The sequence below is a fragment of the Homo sapiens genome, chromosome 14 (genome assembly GCF_000001405.40).
Source record: "Homo sapiens chromosome 14, GRCh38.p14 Primary Assembly".
Lineage (NCBI taxonomy): Eukaryota > Metazoa > Chordata > Mammalia > Primates > Hominidae > Homo > Homo sapiens.
This window is the reverse complement of record NC_000014.9, coordinates 55,776,774-55,798,824: the sequence shown is the minus strand read 5'-3', so window position 1 is coordinate 55,798,824 and position 22,051 is coordinate 55,776,774. Positions and strand designations below refer to the sequence as shown.

Genomic DNA, 22,051 nt, shown 5'->3' with positions numbered 1-22,051 from the left:
CCACCTCCACATTCCATCCTACAGTCTCTAAACAGCCTCAGCATTCAAAATCATTTCCATAATCACCTCAATCAGTATTTGTTTTTGCTCTCAGAAACTCATTCCATCTTTAACCTGCCACCCCAAAGGGGATGGGCCAGCCCAACAGAGGACTGCGGGCTTCCTTAGTTTGGGTTTACATAGCTTCTGTGTACGAGGCTGCCAACTCACCAAACACCTTTGCCTTCCTCTTTATCATGCATCCTGTAATCCTTGGACCTTAGTTATGTGATTCTGACCTTGTCAAATATGCATAAACTCAGTTCTTCCAGGCTGCAAGTCATAATGTCTGATGCTTTCTGAATGACCTGAATGTGCTGTCTCCAACACCAGTGCACACATGGTGAAAATACATACGGCTCCAAAACAGGCTTACTGTGGGATCTTAACCACCTCTTCACCTCCTCCCTAAATCCCTGTGCAGATTTTCAACCCTAGCTTCAAGCTCATAATTTTGTGTGTTACATGCTGAGCTCTCAGAAATCAGAAGCCCCAGCAGAGGTGCCATGCTGTGAAAATTCATGTGAGGAAACCCCTTTCTTTCTAAGCAGTTGTGTCTAGTAGCTGCCTACAAGCTCTGCTAAGCAGTGATGGTTTAATTATCCCACAAAGGCAGCGGTATGCTGGGGCACATTTGCACATCTTGAGAGAGAGCTGGCTGTGCCCATCTCCTCCCTACTCTGTGTTCGGTAATATCACATTGGTAGCTTGAAATTAGCCATGGTGGGAGTATTTACACCATGAAAATTGGCACATGCTACAAATCAGGAATATATATATCCCCCAGAGAACTGGCGGTGAAGCATCTGCCAGTGCACTGCTGTGTGTGAGGGAAAGGCTGCAGAGCCACCCGGCCAACAGGAAGCCATGGAGGAGTCTGTCTGCACTCAGTAATAGTCATAAAGCCTGTGCTCTGGATTTTAATGAGAACGAAGAGCAAGTGACAAGGACTTTCTGTGACAACTAATGAACGTAAGCATGCTGAACTGCTGCAGAGAAACAGGCTTCAAGAGGTGATGTGTTATTTCAGATGCCAGGAAATGGATCCTACCTCAGTGATCAGATTCTAATAACTTGCTTTGCCACTGGCCCAGGTGCTTTACAGGTCTTCTAAGGTAGGAGGAGGAAAGGATAGGGACTGAGCTCATTGTCCATCTGTTAAGCTCAGTGGTAGGCTTCACGCATGGGCCAATGCATTTGACCTCCCACATGGCCCTTAGTTGTAGGTATTAGTGTGCTAATTATTCAAAGGAGAGTAATAAGGCCCCAGGAGTCAAGCCAGTAACTTGCCTAATATCACCTGATGGTAAGGAGTTAAAAATCAGGTGGCCAACAAGCTACCTGATATATCTGCAGAAAGATATTATTAGGTTTTATCTGTGGAAAGAAACAACTGCCTTTACCTCATGGGAAATTAATGACAAATCTGTGGGTCATTAGTAACAATCTTATTGAGATATAATTCACATACCACAAAATTCATCCTTTTCAAGTACACAATTCAGTGGCATCAGGATTCAGGACATGTTACTGCAAAATACAATGCCTCGGAAATTGGGAAGAAAACAGAAACAAGAAGGCCATTTTCAGACCTTCTCCTTCCTTTCTGTGTGACAGCTGGCCATAAGAGAATTCTTTGACCTGCTTTCCCTGAAAGTAGGTCATAAGACCCTCATGTAACAGGTGTCCTGCCCTATGCCCAGAGGAAAGAACAAACAGGCCTTGCTATGTTCCCCTCAGTTTATTACCATTAGGCCACACCTTCTTTTTGACCAATTATACTTCTACATGACTATCCATTCTTCATCAAACCTAAGCACAAAAATAGACACTTTTCCCTGAGTCTTGGGTTCTTCATTTCTGAAGTCTTTCATGTCCTATAAAACTTTGGTTGAATAAATGCTGATATGGTTTGGCTGTGTTCCCACCCAAATCTCATCTTGAATTGTAGCTCCCATAATCTCCGCATGTCATGGGAGGGACTGAATGGAAAGGAACTGAATCATGGGGCGAGTTTTTCCCATGCTGTTCTCGTGACAGTGACTAAGTCTCAAGAGATCTGATGGTTTTATAAAGGGCAGTTCCCCCACACAAGCTCTCTTGCCTTCTGCCATGTAAGATATGACTGTGCTCCTCCTTCACCTTCTGCCATGATTGTGAGGCCTCCACAGCCATGTGGAACTGTGAGTCCATTAGACCTCTTTTTCTTTATAAATTACCCAGTCTTGGGTATATCTTTATTAGCAGCATGAGAACTAATACAAATGTGTTACCCTTTTCTCTTGTTAATCTGTCTTTTGTTATAGGAGTGTCAGTCATGAACCTTGCAATAGATGAGGAAAGTATATTACTTTTCTCTCCTACAGTGGGTTTTAGTATAGTTACAGAGTGGTGCAACCATTATCACTATCTAATTCTAGAACATTTTTATTATACCAGAAAAGAAACCCATACCCATTAGCAGTCACTCTCTACTCCCTCTGCCCCGCAGCCTGTGGCAACCACTAATCTACTTTCTGTCTCTATGAATTGGTGTATTCTGGACATCTCATATAAATGGAATCATACAATATGTGGCCTTTTGTGTCTAGCTTATTTTACTTATAATATTGACAAATCTGTTTTAAAGTTCATGGAGCTCTACAGATGAATTCACAAAGTTAAAAGGCAAACACATGCAGTTTTATTTAAATACCAATAAGCAACAGAGCAAGGCAATGAATGGGAAGTACTAGCATATGTGTTTTTTAATTCAATTTTACAATGTTTGTTGAGTGCCTGTTTATACAACAGACACAAAACAGACAAAATCCCTGTCCTCATAAAACTTATATCAAGGTGGAGAGAAAAGACAAAAAACAAACATAATCAAATAATAATAGCGCATTAGAAGGTTTTAATGACTGTGAGGAAGAAAGATGAAACAAGTGTGGGGTGTTGTGGATGCTAGAGGAGACCTTCTGAATGCATTGCTCTTCTCCTCCCCTGCCCCCCACCTCTCTCTCATAAAATGTCCATGATTCTGATGCCTGACAGCAAGGGTACTCCTGAGTCCCTGTGCCATTGTCTACCTCTGAAGTTTAGTGGCATCTTTACTACCATAACACTAGACCAGCAGGCAACAGCTCTCAGTCATTATATGATAGGTTCATCTTCCTCTCCCAGGCCAGAGTCCCTTCCTCTCTGAAATTCTGAGCTGAAAAGCAGAGAGGGAAGAGGTACCTCATCCTTCTCTCCCAGATCTCTTCTTTCCCTTCAGAGCAGCAGTGAAATTGCTACCCTGCCACTCGCCCCCTACACACAGCCCAGGGTAGAAGTGCTCTGCTCCATCCTCCACCCTCTACACACCTCCTCATTCTGTCCCTGCAGCTGTCCCCACATTGACATACATTAAACAATGACCTGCAGGGTTTCTTGACAAACATGTCAAGGCACAATATTTGCCTTGGTCTGAAGCTTCCTGGAGCCTGGTGAGTTTCCCTTAGCCTCCACATCCTGCCATTTCGCAAATTATTGTCAACTTCAGCTCCTCTACCACTGTTGCTGCTGTTAAAAACACCAAACTTTTTTTAAATCCAGCACTTATCCTTATAACTAGAAACATTCCAATGTTTCCTCATAGGTAACTTCACCATCTCTAACACCATCGAGAATTATTACACCATAAAAACCCACACCTACGTGTGCAGATGGTACCAACAGGAAGCCCAATTTTCTTCCACCAAAGTTGTATACATAATTATGTTTTTCTGGCTTTTTCTTACTATAAAAGTACTACGTATCATTAGAGAGAAAAACAGAAAATACAAATGAGAAAAAGTAAAATCACCCCGTGTAGTGGATAGTCACTAAGACAGCCCCCAGTGACACTTCTTTCCCAGCATTTATGTCCTTCTGTAAGCTCCTCCCCTTGCCTGGGGCTGGACCTAGTGACTCACTTCTAAGGAACACAATACACAAAAAGCAATGGGTGTCATTTCTAAGATTAGGTGTGCAGAAAAGAGTTAACATAGCAGGCCTGAGACTGTTCTCCTTAGACAGTCCTGCTTTCAAGACTGGCCTTTGCATTTCATGAGAAAGGGTTCCCCCCATGCCCTGATAAGAAGGACTCACTTTCTGCCTAAGCTATTTGTGCCAACAATAGTTATGTTGAACATCAGCCTTCCTTCTGGAAATCTAGAATATGGGTATGTGCTAGACATCAGGTGTCAATGTGACTAACCCACAATAAAAACCCTGGGAATTGGGTCTTCCATGAGGTTGTCTAGTGACAAACATCTCATACGTGTTTCAGCTCACTGCTAGGGGAGTAAAGTTTGTCCTGTGTGACTGCACTGTCAGAGGACTTGGAAGCTTGTGCCTGGTTCCCTCTGGTCTTTACCTCATGCACCTTTTTCCTTTGCTGATTTTGCTTTATCTTTTCTCGGTAATAAATCACAGCCATGAGTATGACTATGTGCTGAGTCCTGTGAGTCCTCCTACTGAATCATCAAAGCCAGGGGGTGAGTGTTGTGGACCCCCAACACATTAGACTACTAAAAAGCCTATGACCTTTCCCTCTCTCTCTCCCCACCACTTTTTCTCTCACATACACACACAGAACTTGCTGCCATGTTGGAAGTAGCCTTATTGACAGGCTCACATGGCAAGGAACTAACATCTCTTGCCCATAGCCAACAGCCAGTACCTGAGCTACCGAAGTGTAGAAGCACAGCCTTTCCCAGTTAAGCCTTAAGCTAAGACCCAGATCAAGGGTCTTGACCACCTTGACTGCAGCCTTGTGAGAGGCCCCAAGACAACTAAGCCACACTCACATTCCTGCCCCACACAAACTGTGAAATAATAAATGTTTGTTGTGTTAAGCTGCTAAATTCTAGGATAATTTCTTACACAGGAATAGTTAACTAATAAACTCTTCACCTAGAGGTCATTATTGCTTATATCTTAGGGCACATCTCAAGGGTTTTCTACACCCATCTATAGGTAGAATAAGTGTTCTAGTTGACACTGAATTTCTTTTTTGTTGTTATTAACACTATTGGTAAAAAGCAAAAGCATAGGGGAACGATATAGTATTTTCCTTTATTATCACAAGAAGTTTTGCATTCCAGAATGATAGCTGATATTTCTTTTTGAGTCAGGTTGTCCTTTTGTTTGGGGGAGTAAGAGGTGTGGCAAGAAAAAGATCTCTTTCATGGCCTTTTCTGAAATCCCATTCTGAAACGAGGAGGTTTCACACACTAGGTTAAATCACTCAGCACAATTAATGTAAATGTAACTATCCTTCATGTGGGTGGAATTCATTTCTACAAATTGTGTTTCCTTTTAGGGAAGCTGTTTTTCCCTCTTTGGGGTCTCAGAGAGATTGGTGGCAAGGACTCCTGGGAAGAGAAAAGCTGAAGGACACTCTGGCAAGAGGTAATAAGTTAGTCCTTGCAAAATGGCCATGGGCTGGATGACAAGGAAAGAAGCAGCCATTACAGGACACAGTGGGTGAAACTGACACAAGCTTAAGTTTTCTAGGAGCAAATGTATCTCATAATCAATTTTAAGTTTTTTTTTTGTTCGCAATTTCCATATATTATACCCAAGCACTCAGCAAAGTTGCATTATACATCACAGCTCAGTCTAACCTGCATTTGGAGAATTAACCCATTGTCCATGTTTCTGCAAAGCCTCATGAAGAGAGATATTAAGGGAACAAGAGGTGCCCTGCAAAGAGATGAAGCTCCAGGCTAAGGTAATGAGACACAGGGAAGGGGAATCTTCTAGAAGAAAGAATATCATGCAATCAAACTAGATGGGGAATAGAGCCACAGGATATGAATACTAAAAACAAGTGTAGCCTCTTGTTGCTAGAGGAAGCTAGAAAATCAAAGTTGCACATGCTTGTTTTTTGTAACAAATTACAGTCAGGCTGAATGTACTATTTATGGCCTGCTTAACTGACTTAACAATATATTGTATCATTAAAAATTCTGCTACAACTCAGTTTGTACTGGCTGCTAATTATTCTGTTGTATGGAAAAACTATAATTTATTTTACCAATATTCTATTATTGGACATGTAAGTCATTTCTAATTTTCATTGTTATTGTAAACAATGCTACAATGAACATCCTTATAGCTAAATCTCTGTTCAAAACTGTAATTATATCTTTAGAATACATTGCTAGAAATGGCATTGTTACATCAAAAAATACGCACTTTTAGTGTTTAAAGAATTTTTCCAAATTTTCTTTCAGAAAAATTATGCCAGTTCAAACTCCTGCCAACAGGAGACAAGAAGTGCTTTGCCCCACCACTTAGCCAAAACTAGATATTATCTTTTTATCATTCTTACAACACATGCATGTTCTTATGCTTGCTTAAACACACTATAAGAGATTTATAATTGAAAATTACTTTTTTGTTTGGTTTATATGTGTGTTGTCAGGTACAAAACTCATACCACTCACGGCACAATAGCTAGTAAGTCAAGAGACAAGGTGCTGGGGGAAGCAAAACGACTATTTCAATGGCCAACAAACCAAGAAGATGGCAGACTAGTGTTGTAAAGAACCATCTTTAAAGGCATGAATCTCGGCCAGGCGCAGTGGCTCACACCTGTAATCCCAGCATTTTGGGAGCCCAAGGCGGGGGAATCATGAGGTCAGGAGTTTGACAGCAGCCTGGTCAATATGGTGAAACCCCATCTCTACTAAAAATACAAAAATTAGCTGGGCATGGTGGCACATGCCTGCAATCCCAGCTACTCAGGAGGCTGAGGCAGGAGAATTGCTTAACCTAGGAGGTGGAGGTTGTAGTGAGCCGAGATCGTGCCACTGCACTCCAGCCTGGGCAACAGAGCAAGACTCCATCTTGAAAAAATGAAAATAAAGGCATGAATCTCAAGCTTGTTTTTATATTGGGGAAAGGGAAACAAGGAGGAGGTTAGGGGTTGAGGTCAGGCAGTAACAAGTGACCACAGACATCCAGGCATCAGCAGGAGTCCAAAGGGTTGCAAAACATCTTGTCCTTGGTCAGGTCACAAGGCTCCTGTACATTTTTAATACAACATGGTTATTAGTGTGTATACCCTCCTTATCTCCTCAGGGGTTAGTTTTGGGAAGGGACTGTTATCACCTTTGCTTTAAATTAAACTATAAACTAAATTTCTACCAGAGTTACCTCGGCCTGCATGCAGAAATGAGAAAAGGCAGTTAGCTTGTGAGGTTAGAAGCAAGATGGAGTCAACTATGTTAGATTTCTCTTCACTGTTACATGTGCAGCTCCACCATAAACAATAAAGGTCATTCTAGGCAGCTGTCCAAAGTAATGCAGCAGGCAAACAAGAAAGTCACAGAACTGGCAGCATCTTGCCACATACAGCTCCCTTCAGTAGCCCTTTCTGAGGTTAGTAACAACATAGGTAATACTGACTATAAAAGCTCCCTTCTTTTGCATTTAATATTTATAACTTATTCATACCCAGGTTTAAAAAAAAAAAAAGTTTTTGTTTTGCCTAAAAATGGATACAACATAAGTTTTACAGAACTGAAAAAGGAAAAGAAAATGCTTTTCTAGCCAAGAAGTGACTTCTGCTATTGGCAGGTAGATAAATTTGTTTATAAAACAAGGCTTTTGTAACAAAAGAACCAGAAGGAAAATCTCCCATTTTTATCTCATTGTCCTTCTGAGATTTGTCCTCTGCTCTTTCGCCATGTTCTATCACTGTAAAAACTTCCCTAATAAGCAGCTTTGGGGAGAAAGCGAGAGATCCTAGATAAGGAACAGTGTCAGAATGGCTGGATTTCATCATTTCCTCAATTACTAATGATCCTCATTCTTTGTACAGGAAATGTAGACTGTGCTCAAGTATAAAAGGTCATTAATATGAGAACATTTAAAAAAAAAAAGGTCAATTCTGTAAAAAATGCATTGAATGGGTAAGTACCTTGTTGGAGTACAGAAGGGAAGAGGAGGGGTGACAAAGAATGAGGAATAGTCAGGCTCCTCCTCAGGGAGCTTCCAGTCACGCAGCACAGGGTCAACACACACACACACACACACACACACACACACACACACACACACAAGCCAGCAGCACCTGCCCAAGCGTAGAAGCTGAACAGAGGTGTGAGAAACCATGTGAGCAAGAGCAGACAGGAATGAAAGAGTGACTGAGAATAAGGACAGACTCAGGGGAGGTGGCGTGTGATCCCACCTTGGAGAGGAGAGAAACGTTACAAGAGGAGGAGACTGGAGCTTTGACAGGCAGAGAAAACAACCGAAGCCAAGGAACCAAGTGTGCAAATTGGCTTTAGTCTGTTTTGTGCTGTTATAGCAGACTACCACAGACTGGGTAATTTATAATGAACAGAAATTTATTTCTCACAATGCTAGAGGCTGGGAAGTCCAAGAACAAGGGGCTGCCCTCTGGCAGGGGCCTTCTTTCTGCCTCAAAACGTGGTAGAAGTTATGAGGAAAAGGAGCCAAACTCCCTGTTTTATTACAAACCCACTCTCCCACAGTAATGAATCCACTCCTGTGACAATGGCATTCACCCATTCACTCTGCCCTCATGGCCGAATCACATCTCATTAGGCCACACCACCCAACACTGCTGCGTCGGCAGTTAAGTTTCCAACATGCACTTTTTGGGGGATACAGTCAAACCATAGCAGGACACATAAGCCGTAGATTTCGCCCATGGAGAGAGAGAGAGTGGAGGCGAGGTTAAAAAGGTTAGGCGCTGTGACTACCGGCCTGACATGCAGTGCTAAGGAGCATGAACCTGACTCTGTAGACCACTGTTTTCCAAACTTGTGATCACACACTCCATTCATTTAAAAAATCTCTAAGTACATAACGCTAATATGGGTATTTGTGTTTATTTACTTAGAAATTATATATCTGATTCACTACATTAATGTGTCATACTATCTTATGAAAGATAAAAATATATATTAACTTAAAAGGAGGATTTTAAGTTTAAATGCCTTGCTGGTTGCGATGGCCTCATATTGGCAGAGGCACATCCTCAAAGCACAATGTACATTTACCTAGCAAAACTTTTATTTAACATCTGCATTTCAAACAGTCTTCTTCACAACTTTGAATTTGTTTAGCCAACTGCTTGGCAGGGCTCCATAGATTGTCATTGCTGTTACCTCATAAACCAGCTGACCAAGGGCTTGAACCAGACTTAGCTTCTTGTTTGTTTGCACTTCAACACTAGTATCTTCTTCAGTCCTTGAAGCAATTTTAAGCCCCTTGTCCATTTTACTAGAGTTTAGTTAAAACTAGATACTAAAAACTTATCCCTGGGCTCATGTCCATTGCGGCATAAGGATGAATTCCACTGGCACCCTCTTTGCACTTTGGTGAAGCTTTGGCTCCTCTGCAGGCTGTGCTCTGTCGCCTAAGCTGCAGTGCAATAGCTCACTGCAGGCCTGACCTTCTGGGCTCAAGTAATCCTCTCCCCTCAGCCTGCAAAGTAGCTGGGACTACAGGCATAGGCCACCATGCCCAGCTGATTTCTTTTATCTTTAGTAGAGATGAGGTCTCGCTATGTTGCCCAGGCTGGTCTGGAACTCCTGAGCTCAAACCACCCTTCTGCCTCAGCCTCCCAAAGTGCTGGGACTGCAGCTGTGAGTCACTGCACCCGGCCTCCATCTTTTTTAACATCGGAATATACATAGTTCCAAAATTTCCCTCCTGTCCACCTCTTGCAGACTACCTAATGTGTGTGTCTGCATACTGGAAGCCAGTCACCAGCATAGAGAATGGAAAGCCCTGGTACAATTTAATAGAGAAAACAGCAGCTTCCAATCTGTATTTCAGGAAAGTCTCTCTGTCATGGATGGACTGGGGCTACCATGGGTAATGTATTTAAGAAATGATCACTTTAGGCTGGGCGCAGTGGCTCACACCTGTAATCCCAGCACTTTGGGAGAACGAGGCGGGTGGATCATGAGGTCAGGAGATCAAGACCATCCTAGCTAACACGGTGAAGCCCCGTCTCTACTAAAAATACAAAAAATTAGCTGGGCGTGGTGGTAGGCACCTGTATTCCCAGCTACTTGGGAGGCTGAGGCAGGAGAATGGCGTAAACCCGGGAGGCAGAGCTTGCAGTGAGCCGAGATTGCGCCACTGCACTCCAGCCTGGCGACAGAGCCAGACTCCGTCTTAAAAAAAAAAAAAAAAGAAAGAAAGAAATGATTACTTTAACCCAGGCTGGAGACACAAGGAGTGGAACCTGGGTTGCACACAGGAAGACTGAGAGCTCCAGAGTTTTGGAGGAGGAGGTGGAATTAGATTTGAATACTTCCAGAGGAGGCCAGCTTCTCAGCCCACCAGAGTCCATGTCCCTCCCTACTGTGTCACACCCCCTTTTCATCATTATATTTGTTCTCTGGCCTCTCCAGGCATCAGAGTCAAAGCTCTACACAAGGACAGTGGCTGTGATGGTTAAAGGAAGGGCTGGATGTGAAAATAGCTGATGGAGGAGTCAGAGAGCCTGGCAAGTGATTGTTGAGATGAAAAGAAATGAAAATGCCAAGATCCCCAGCCTGTTACTGGAAGGAAAGTGACTCCATTAATCCCTTCAGAAGGAGCAGGTTCTGCTTAGAGGATTGGTGTGAAAATAAGGTTATTATTTGACATATTGAGTTGAAAACATCTGCGGAACATGAACAAAGAAATGCCTTAAAGCCTGTAATCCCAGCACTTTGGGAGGCCGAGGCAGGAGGATCATGAGGTCAGGAGATCGAAACCATCTTGGCTAACACAGTGAAACCCTGTCCCTACTAAAAATACAAAAAAAAAAATTAATTAACCAGGCATGGTGGTGGGTGCCTGTAGTCCCAGCTACTCAGGAGGCTGAGGCAGGAGAATGGCGTGAACCCGGGAGGCGGAGCTTGCAGTGAGCCAAGATCACACCACTGCACTCCAGCCTGGGCAACAGAGTGAGACTCCATCACAAAAAACAAACAAACAAAAAATGTCTAAAAGGAAAGTGGTAATATAACCTACAGCAGTGTACTGGGTTGAATAAGGTCCCCCCAAAATGGATATGTACCTGGCACCTCAGAAAGTGATCTTACTTGGAAATGGACTTATCAAACTTATACATCTGATAAGAAGCATTTACCATCTACTCTCCCTGAAGCCTGCTACCTGGAGGCCTTACTTGCATGACAAAACCTTGGTCTCGCAACCCATCATCTTAACCCAGACATTCCTAAGTCTTTAAACAATAACTTAACTCTTTCAACCAATCATCAATCAGAAAATCTTTGAATCCACCTATGACCTGGAAGCTTCCATTTGTCCCCCCTTTCTGGACAAAACCAATGTATATCTTAAGTGTATTTGATGTCTCATGTCTCCCTAAAATGTATAAAACCAAGCTGTACCTTGACCACCTTGGACACATGTTCTCAGGATCTCTTGAGGGCTGTGTTATGAGCCATTTGTCTCTTGTATTTGGCTCAGAATACATCTCTTCTACCATTTTACAGAGTTTGACTCTTTTGGTCAACAGAGTGATGCATCTACAAACCAGAGTGCCAAGAATCGCAGGCAACCAGCAGAAGCTAGAATTTTAGGCAAGGAAAGATCTTCCCCCAGAGCCCTCAGAGGGACCATAGCTGGCCAACACCTTGATTTCAGACTTCTAGCATTCAGAACTGTAGAGAAAACATTTCTGTTGTTGTGAGCCTCCCAGTTTGTGGTACTCTGTTACAGCAGCCTTAGGAAATGAATATAGATTCCCAGTTAGGGTCCCACTTAAGAGCTGAAGCTGTAGGAGGTACGCAGTCTCCCTGGAAGAAGACCCGTGGGGTGGGGGGATCCAAGCCAGAGTTGGGGGAGAAAGAGCCATGTGTGAGAAACAAGATGAAAAACCAGGCTGGACACTGGACAAGGGATCAGGAAACAGCAATGAGCCCTTGGTTTGAGGAGAGCAGGGAGGAAGGAGAGGGTGGTGAGATGGGAAGCAGTGTCGTGAAGTCAATGCAGGAGAATTTTGAACAGAGATGAGGTAGCAAATGGAGACAGATGCTCCCAAAATATAGAATAAGAAATGAGAGAAATTCCTAAGAGGCAGGTGATCAATGCACATTTCATACCACCATATTCCAAAGAAAAGAAACTTCGAATGCCAAAAAGGTCAAGTGACCCCCTCTATATCCATTAGACAGGTGTTAGGCCTAAGATACATTATGTGAAAAAACTAAGCTCCAAGACGATATAGAGAAAATCAAGTAAAATACATCAAACTATTTAAATGTTTATCACTAGGGGAGATTTTCATATTCTGCATCATAACGTTTGGATGAAACATATGATCTAAAACGTTTGATTTTTTTTCTTTACAATAAGCAGTTGTTACTTTTAAGCAGAAAAAGAGAAGGACTAAAAAGAGAACAGGATAGAAACCAGCATGTGCAGTCTCATTATAAGATGGCAAACCTCTCTGTGGGTATATGGATAAAAAGAGATCTTAAAGGATGCCAAAATGTTTAAGTGTTTGATCCAGGAAATGTTTTTCTGTGTATTTTCTTTTTTCTGTGTATTTTGTCCTTTTCTCTTTTGTTTTCCTCTTTTAAGTTGAGTATAATATGATTTTCTCCAAAAATAAGGTCATTGGCATTCAACTCTAAAAATAAAGCCCTCTTATTCTCTGGTTATTTTTTTCTTGACCTCAGCCAACATCATCAAATGGATGAACAATTATAAAACTGAAGTTCGTCTTTGGTGCTTTTAATACTTTTCCTATGATAAAGCTTTTAATCTATTCCTAAAGGACCCAAGCGAGGCAAACGATCCATCCATGCAACACAAGCACATTCTGGATGCTGTCACTCTGGCAAAATTTATCCTAAAATTATGTGACCTCTAACTGTGCAGGGCAGGCAAAAATGTCCTGGCTCTTACTTTCTCATTCACAGTTCCATTCAGCTCCTCTCTTTCTCTACTATTTTGAAGTATTTCACTCCTACCCACTTGAAACATGAGCTAATTTTGTACTAACAACTATATTTTCTGCAGTTTGTTTAAGTTTTTCCCTTATTGGCAAATCTTGCACACACACAGATGCATAAACGTCTTTGTTTCTTCAACCACATTCAACTTTTATTATATCCAATTTTCTTTCCAAAAAAAAAAAATGTGCTTAACTAGAGGCAGTTACTACATTTTTATTACTCTTTGGGCTTCTTTTCATGAGCAATTGTACAAATCTTTCCCAAAGTACTTCGCCCCTCTAAGAGGAGTCCTTATATTCTAGGCAGACACGCTTAGCGAAGGAAGCATGTGGAAAGAAAGGCCAAGCGCTAAGGTTAAGACGTGGTGCAGGAGGGCAGAGAAGGAGAGCTTATAGAGCAGGTTCAGGATGCAGCTTCACCTGTTCTTCATTATTGCTAAAAACTGTGTATTCATTGTAAAAATAAGTATAGGCCCTTCTAAGATGTTCTTCTAAAAGTGCAAACATTTAATCTTGTGCCACCTCCTGTAATGTCCTTAGTAGGGAACAACATCATCTCTTGTGGTATTCCTGCCAAAAATGAATAACCTAAATTGAATCAAGAGGAGACATCAGACAAACCCAAACTGGCGTTCATCCTACAAAACAGCCAGTTAGTACTCTTCAAAAGCATCAGTCTTAAAAAAACAACACAGAGGGGCTGTTCCAGGTTAAAGGATGCTGGGAAAAAAATATGGCAACTAAATGTAATATGGGATCCCGGATGGGATCCTGAACCAGAAAAAAGGATATCTGTGGGATAACTGAAGAAATTTGAATGATTAAATTTGAAATCAAATTTTAATTGAATTCCACAGAATTAATCTGTAATTTGTTTCATGTTAATGTTAATTTTCTGGTTTTGATCACTGAGCTGGGTTTTTTACTTTTATTTTAGGTTCGGAGGTACATGTGCAGGTTTGTTATATAGGTAAACTCGTATCACAGACATTTATTGTACAGATTATTTCACCACCTTTGTACTAAGCCTAGTACCCAATAGTTATTTTTTCTGCTCCTCTCCAACCTTAAGTAGAGCCCAGTGTCTGTTGTTCCCTTCTTTGTGTTCATAAGTTCTCATCATTTAGCTCCCACTTGTAAGTGAGAACACATGGTATTTGGTTTACTGTTCCTGCATTAGTTTGCTAAGGACAATGGCCTCCAGCTCCATCCATGTTCCCGCAAAAGACATGACCTCATTTTTTCTGGCTGCATAGTATTGCATGGTGTATATGTACCATATTTTCTTTACCCAATCTGTCATTGATGGGCATTTATGTTGATTCCATGTCTTTGCTATTGTGAATAGTGCTGCAGTGAACATATGCATGCACATGTCAATATGGTGGAAAGATTTGTATTTCTCTGGGTATATACCCTGTAATGGGATTGCTGGGTCAAATGGTAGTTCTGTTTTTAGCTTTTTGAGGAATCATCATACTGCTTTCCACAATGGTTGAACTAATTTACACTCCTGCCAAGTGTCTAAGTGTTCCCTTTTCTCTGCAACTTTGCCAGCATCTGTTATTTTTTTACTTTTTCGTAGCCATTCTGATTGGTGTGAGATGGTATCTCTTTTTTATTTTGATTTGCATTTTTCTAATGATCAGTGATATTGAGTTTTTTCATATGCTTGTTGGCTGCATATGTGTCTTCTTTGGAAAAGTATCTGTTCTTATCCTTTGCCCACTTTTTAATGGGGTTGTTTTTCTCTTGTAAATTTGTTTTTAAGTTCCTTATAGTTTCTGGATATTAGACCTTTGTCAGATACATAATTTGCAAACATTTTCTCCCATTCTGTAGGCTGTTTAATCTGTTGATAGTTTCCTTCACTGTGCAGCTCTTAAGTTTAATTAGATCCCATTTGTCAATTTTTGCTTTTGATGTCATCATGAAATCTTTGTCCATTCCTATGTCCAGGATGGTATTGCTTAGGTCGACTTCCAGGATTTTTATAGTTTGCGGTTTTACATTTAAGTATTTAATTCATCTTGAGTAGATTTTTGTATATGGTGTAAGGAAGGGATCCAGTTTTGATCTTCTACATATGGCTAGCCAGTTATCCTTGCACCATTTATTGAATAGACAGCCTTTTCCCCATGACTTGTTTTTGTCAGCTTTGTCAAAGATCAGATGATCATAGATGTGTGGCATTATTTCTGGGCTCTCTGTTCTGTTCCATTGGTCTATGTACCTGTTTTGGTACCAGTATCATGCTGTTTTGGTTACTGTAGCCCTGCAGTATAGTTTGAAGTTGGGTAATGTGATGTCTCCAGCTTTGTTTTTTTGCTTAGGATTGCCTAGGCTATTCGAGTTTTTTGGTTCCAAGTGAATTTTAAAATAGTTTTCTTACTAGTTCTGTGAAGAATGTCATTAGCAGTTTGATAGGAATAGCATTGAATCTGTAAATTGCTTTGGGAAGTATGGCCACTTTAATATTGACTCTTCCTATCCATGAGCATGGGATGTTTTTCCCTTTGTTTGAATCATCTCTGATTTCTTTGAGCAATGGTTTGTAATTCTCATTGTAAAGTTCTTTCCTATCAATGTTAGTTTTCTGGTTTTGATCATAGAATTGGTTTCTGAGAGGTTAATATTTGAAGAAGCTGAGCAACATATATAAGAAAGTCCTTGTACTATTTTTATAACTTTATATGCCAGAAATGTTTTTAATCTATTTACTTTACAGAATGAAATTATTTCAAATAAAAAGTGAAAAAATTATTCATGATACAAAGGCTAATTAAATGAGAGAGACTAGCTTCCTTTTCTATTCCCCTTTCTTTCCTCTTCAAGGTACCACCTCTCACTGGCTGCCCAAGCAAGATTCTATGGCTTGGAATAATTCTCAGCGACTCACTCATCAAAGGGCATCTATCTAGAAGCCCTGCTCCTTCAGGGACATCTGAGGTTGATGAGCTGATCCAATAAGCCATCAGAGCTGGAATAGTAGTAGTTAACAATGGCTCTCTGCACTCTTTTTAAATAACTTTGCTTTTCAGGCCAAGGTGAGAGCCTCGTGGGAATTTCACAAATTTTATAGAAGCAGAGGAGTGCTATTTGAGCAAGGGGCGGATAACACCTACAATCCACTCAGGATTTCCAAGCATAGCCGGATGCAGAAGTACTCATACTTCACTACAGAATCACCTGGGGAGCTTTTAACCTTCTGATTCTAGTGTTTCCCTCTGGCAGATGGAGACAGAAACTTGACTGGGCTCAGGAATATGTGTTTTTAAAATTCTCCAGAAGATTTTAATGCAGTACAAGTAAGAAGACAGGACTGCAATTCACAAGAACAGTATATCCTGGTGATTCCTCAGAACAGAACAGACTCAAAAAAAAAAAAAAAAGAAGAAGACAAAAACAAAGATAACATGAAACCAGATTCCACAACCATGTTTCAAGTGACCTATGTGAGTCAGGCCCATGAGACACATACTACACCAGTTTCAGTGAAGCCTCACAAAATTTAGGGGGGTAGAGGAAAGGGTCCTATGCCCATTTCATAGATGAACAAACTAAGGACTTAATAGATTTCAACAATTTGTTCAAAGTCTCTACCTTAAAGGATTTTGGGGTTCTGGTTTTTGTTTTTACCTGCCCTGGTAACTCTTCTAAGAATGAGCCAAGAAGAAGACAACCTTCTAAGATACTTTTCCTGCCCTCCAAGGGCTGTGGAGAATCTGATAGGGTTGGAGCTGCCCTCTCCTCTTCCCAGAGACACTGCCCCACAATCCCATCAAGTCTGACTGGTACCAACGACTCCAGGGGGCCTCTGCCTTCAGAACTGTATAGGCCTGTGTGGGCACCAGTCTTTACATCCATGTTCCCTCTCCCTCGAGGACCCAGGTTGACCTGTCCAAGAGCTCTCTCATCATGCTGAATTTTGGTGACAGCATAGGGTGAGCCTGTGGATTCTACAGCTCAGCAAACCTCCAGCCAAGTAGTTTCCCTTCATATGGTTCCCCAGTCTTTACATGTGGCATCCAAGAAGGGAAAGTATCCCCTCTCCCTTGATGAGATGTCAGCCCCTCACCACACATGGCCTGGGTGCTAGGAGGACCCATACGGGCTAGGGAGGGGCCACTGGGAGGGGAATGTGTAGGGGGCAGACCCCATCTAGCTGCTTCTTGATGAGCCTGGCATGGAGTGTTTGATCCAAATCTTGACAGCACATTGGTGGCTGTTGTCACTGTGTGGCAGGACTTGCAGTTGAGCTTCTTGTGCCTTGGACTTCTTGTGACTTGGACCTCAGCCTCCATTGAAGACCGTAACACAAGTCCCAACTTACAAACAAATGAGGGAATGAATGAGCTTTGGCATTGGAAAAACCTGGGTTCAAATCCTGGCTACTCTACTTCCTGTGTCAGTTGCTTCACTTTTCTAAATATAAATTGTGTTCCTTCTGTTTTGGCTTCTAGGAAACCCCGAGCCAAACGTATGGCCACCTCTGACCACTCGACCAGCCCAGCATGGTGTACATTTCTGGGTAGCTTATCACGCCTTCCAAGCATTGCCTTTATCTTCCTTCTCCCCATCAAGCCTGTATTGTTTTCCTTTTGAATCATAAGCACTTTTGTTAAATACCTCAAATCTTTCGAGAACAGCAAGGAGCAAAATAAACTTAACTTCTCTGAGACCATGTTTCTTCATCTGGAATATAATCATTTGTACTTTACAGGATCACAGGGAGTATACATCAAGTCAGCCTGCATAATGTGCCCAGCTGAGGGCCTGGAGCAGGCAGTGAGAGACTCCCTGGGGCTGGGGCTGTCCCACCTCCCCTGTCTCCTTTCATGCCAAACCTAAGGACCTCAAGCCTCAGGTCCCATTTCACAGAGAAACATTCCTCACTGATTGCATTTATCCAGAATAGACCATGGAGGTGTGAGCTTTTCGGACAATATTGGGGGGACTGTTCCCAGGAGACAGGCACATGGCAGGAGAGAGTAGGAGGAGAGGGCAGTGTGAGCACTGAGGACCCAGGGTGAGCCCCCATATGGGTGCAGAATTTCCCCTGATAAAACTCCCTATTTAATCAGGCTGCAGAAGCAGTCCCAAATCTTACTTCCTCTTATTTATTGATGGGGTTCTCCACCCTGTTTTTAATACTAGTTAACCTTCGTGGCATCAGCATGTTGGCACAAGGCCCAAATTCCTTCCACTGCAGGTCACGAAGCGGATTACCCTAGATTTCTCAGAGCTGGCCCTTGTGTTCTTTCTGGAAGGTGCTTGTGTAATGACATGGAGAGAGGCGGTAAGGGAGAACTTCTGCTTGGTCTTGCTTATAACTAAATTGAGACAGTGTTGACAGGGGAGGGTCAGGCAGGAGGGAGTGGAGGAGAGAGAGTGCCACCATTGGTCCTGTGCCTGCAGCATAATTTGGGTGTTGGAAGCTTTCCCTAGATTCCTTTTCTCATGAAGCTGCACCAAGCCTTGTAATGAAAACATTCCTCCCTGTCCACAGTTCTGACCTAATGAACATCGTCCAAAAACACAGTGGCCCAGATGTCATTCATGGGTCTCCAGGAGGCCCTTCCACCACACGCAACCCGTCAGTCACCCCAACTCCAGGAAAAGCCTGAATAAACAGGTGAATCAAGCCTCACAGTAACAGGAAAACTTTATGGGTTTTTGTTTCTAACTCATTAGGCACACATTCACGGAGAGGGCTAGGATAAATTTTTCTTTCATCCAGAATAGAACTGAAATCTTTGGCTTTGTGATGTGATCCTCTCACTCTTGTAATTTAAAAGTACAAACTAAAGGAGGCATCAGTGGTGTGGGCCAGAAGGGCCCAGCAAGGCCCCCCGACATGCTATGCAGCTAGAAGTGGTTTCCCCATATGTCATAAGGGCCCACCTGGGCTTCATGGTAGAGAACACTCTGCACATTTAAAGAGCTGTCGGCCAGGCACAGTGGCTCATGCCTGTAACCCCAGAACTTTGGGAGGTCGAGGCAGGTGTATCACTTGAGGTCAGGAGTTCGAGACCAGCCTGGCCAACATGGCAAAACCCCTTCTCTACCAAAACTACAAAAAAATAAAAATAAAAATAAAATTAGCCAGGTGTGGGCACACCCGTAATCCCAGGTACTCTGGAGGCTGAGGCAGGAGAATCACTTGAACCTGGGAGGTGGAGGTTCCAGTGAGCCGAGATCGTTCCACTGCACTCTAGCCTAGGTGACAGAGTAAGACTCCATATAGTAAAAAAAAATAAAAATAAAAATAAAGAGCTATCACTTAATCATGCCAGCAGACTGGGGATTTTACAAGTGTAGAGTCACCTCTGGGTGAACCTAAACTGTCTCAATGAGGAAAGTAAGCCAAAACCAGCTCTAGCCCTAGGACTGTAGGTACATGGTAGAGCTTATAGGGACACACTTGATACAACTGACAGGAGAATTCTTGGGCCGCCGTGGGCTTTAATACCAATGGGCACCCTGGTAACATTACAAAACTGAAGATGGAGCTGGAATGACTTGTGGAGTGAGCAGAGCCCCAAGTAAGAATTATGGCCTGTCCTTCAAAGCCTACCTGGGCAGCAGTGTTATTGCCATTAGCCACAAGGAGCCTGATAGCTGAGGTTTTTTAAAATCACCTAGGCCTTCCATTAAACACATAATGTTTTTAGCACTTGGCATTTCTGAAACTGCAAGGCAACTTAACATTTCCATAGGCCCCACATTCAAGTAGGGAAAACATGAACACTGAAAAGAGCTAGCCACTTGCTGGGTTTATATCACAACCTCCAAGCCCTACCTCTGTGCTTGGAGTATGAGAAGTTATGAGTCTTTGGAGAAATGTGAGAGCAATAAAAGTAAGCAAAAAGCAAGCTTATGAGACAGGAAAGACAACCTGCAAGAGTGATGCTGAGTTCCCAGGAAAGGAAGATGAAACCAGCTCTTTCCATGGAAAGTGCAAGTGCTACCCATTTGAGGAAGAACACCCTTGCAGGAAGGGCTGTTAGTCCCAAGCTGGTGGCTGATCAAGTCAGAAAGTCCTTTCAGAAAGAGAGACACAAACACTTTCTGGAATGGTAAAGCTCAGTCCCCCAGAGTCTACACACTGTGTATGTCACCTTTTCAAGACGCCCACGAGCCCATAGTCAACGACTTTAGCCTAGGGTTCTCTGCCCAAAAAAGGAAGTAAACAAAGAAAACAGAGGGCATAGCAATAGCAATAAACCCAAACGTTCATCAATGAATGGATAAACAAAAAATGATACATCCATCCAATGGAATATTATTCATCCATGAAAATGAACTAAGTCCTTACACATGTTACGACATGGACGAACCTTGAAAAAAATCCTGGCAACTGTAAGAAGCCAAACATTGAGAGCCATAAATTGTATGATCCCATTTATATGAAATATCCAGAATAGGTAAAACCATAGAGACAGAAACTGCATCACTGGTTGCCAGGAGCTAGGGCAGGTGGGGGCAAAGGGGGAGGGACTGTTTAATGGGTGTGGAGTTCACGTTTGGGGTGATGAAAATGTTTTGCAATTAGGTAAAGGTGATGTTTGCAAAACACTGTGAATGTATAAATGCCTCTGAATTGTAAACTTAAAAATGGTTAATGGTATGTTATGTGAATTTCACTTAAAGACATAGCAACACTCCAGTGAGTGCCCCATGTTTGTGTGGCTGGTAGAGGAGATGAGAGCGGCATCAATAAAGCAGGAGCAATAAAGCAGCTGGTGACATCGAAGTTTATCAAAGGGCAGGGCTGCTGGGAAGGAACAAGCTTCGTACAAATTTTCCAGGCTCTGCAGTTCAGAAGAGGGCCCTGTGTATATCCCATGAAAAGAGTCCTAGCTGGTCTGCCCTTGCTGTGTGAGGGCATGAGGAAAACATTTTTTCCAAGGCCCAGGCCGTTTCTTGGCATAGATACTTCTTCCATGGCCCAGCCAAAGAAGTGGTGGCCCTGGCATGGTAGTCACCTAGGACATCTTCACTAGACAGAGACCTTTTTTGCATAACATCGTGTGAGAAAGAGAAAGACCATGCAGGACCAGGCATGGTGGCTCCCACTTGTAATCCCAGCACTTTGGGAGGCTGAGGCGGCTGGATCACCTGAGGTCAAGAGTTTGAGACCAGCCTGGCCAACATGGTGAAACTGCGTCCTACTAAAAATAAAAAGTTAGCCAGGCATGGTGGCACACGCCTGTAATCTCAACTACTTGGGAGGCTGAGGCAGGAGAATCACTTGAAACTCGGAGGTAGAGTTAGCAGTGAGCCGAGATCATGCCATTGCACTCCAGCCTGGGTGACAAGAGTGAAACTTGAAAGAGAAAAGAAGAGAGAAAGAAAAGAAGGAAAAAAGGAAAAGGCAGGTAGGACATGCACAGGATGGAGCAGCTTCAGATGAATCTCAAAGGAAAGGGGAAAGGAAAAGGAAAAGGAAAGGAAAAGAAAAAGGACAGGAAAAGAACAGAAAAGGCCATGCACAGGATGGAGCAGCTTCAGATGAATCTCAGCCCCTTCCAAATTCATGATGTGGGGGGCACAGCCATTCTTGGGTAGGGTCTTTTCCCATACACATAGCACATGACTCAGTGAAGCCAGCCTCCCCCGAGCCCACACATTTTTTTTTTTTTTTTTTTGAGACAGAGTCTCACTCTGGAGTGCAGTAGCACTCCAGCTCACTGCAGCCTCCACCTCCCAAGCTCAAGTCATCCTCCTGCTTCAGCCTCCCAAGTAGCAGGGACAGCAGGTGTGTGCCACCACACCTGGCTAATTTTGGGTTTTTGTTTTTTTTTTTTAATAGAGGCAGGGTTTTACCATGTCACCCTGGCTGGCCTCAAACTCCTGGACTAAAGCAATTCGCCCACTTTAACCTCCCAAAGTGCCGGAATGGCATGCATAAGCCACCAGGCCCGGCCTGCATCTTCTCTTACTGGGTCAGACACGGTCCACCAGTCAGGTGCCTCCTTCCTACAAATTGCCAACACAGATTGGCACCTGTCTGCCCCACTGATGAGCACTCATCAGAAA

At 42.7% G+C, this 22,051-nt stretch overlaps 1 long non-coding RNA gene across 2 annotated transcripts; it reads left to right on the top strand.

The window, feature by feature from the left end:
* Nucleotides 1-2,150: 2,150 nt before the first annotated feature.
* Nucleotides 2,151-17,690, top strand: LINC00520 (long intergenic non-protein coding RNA 520). Of its 2 annotated transcripts, NR_026796.1 has the most exons (4): nucleotides 2,151-2,222; nucleotides 4,480-4,541; nucleotides 5,369-5,457; nucleotides 15,845-17,690. It is a non-coding gene; the product is annotated as a long intergenic non-protein coding RNA 520 (long non-coding RNA). The 2 variants fall into 2 exon arrangements; NR_026797.1 differs by lacking the exon at nucleotides 4,480-4,541.
* The last annotated feature ends 4,361 nt before the right edge of the window (nucleotides 17,691-22,051 follow it).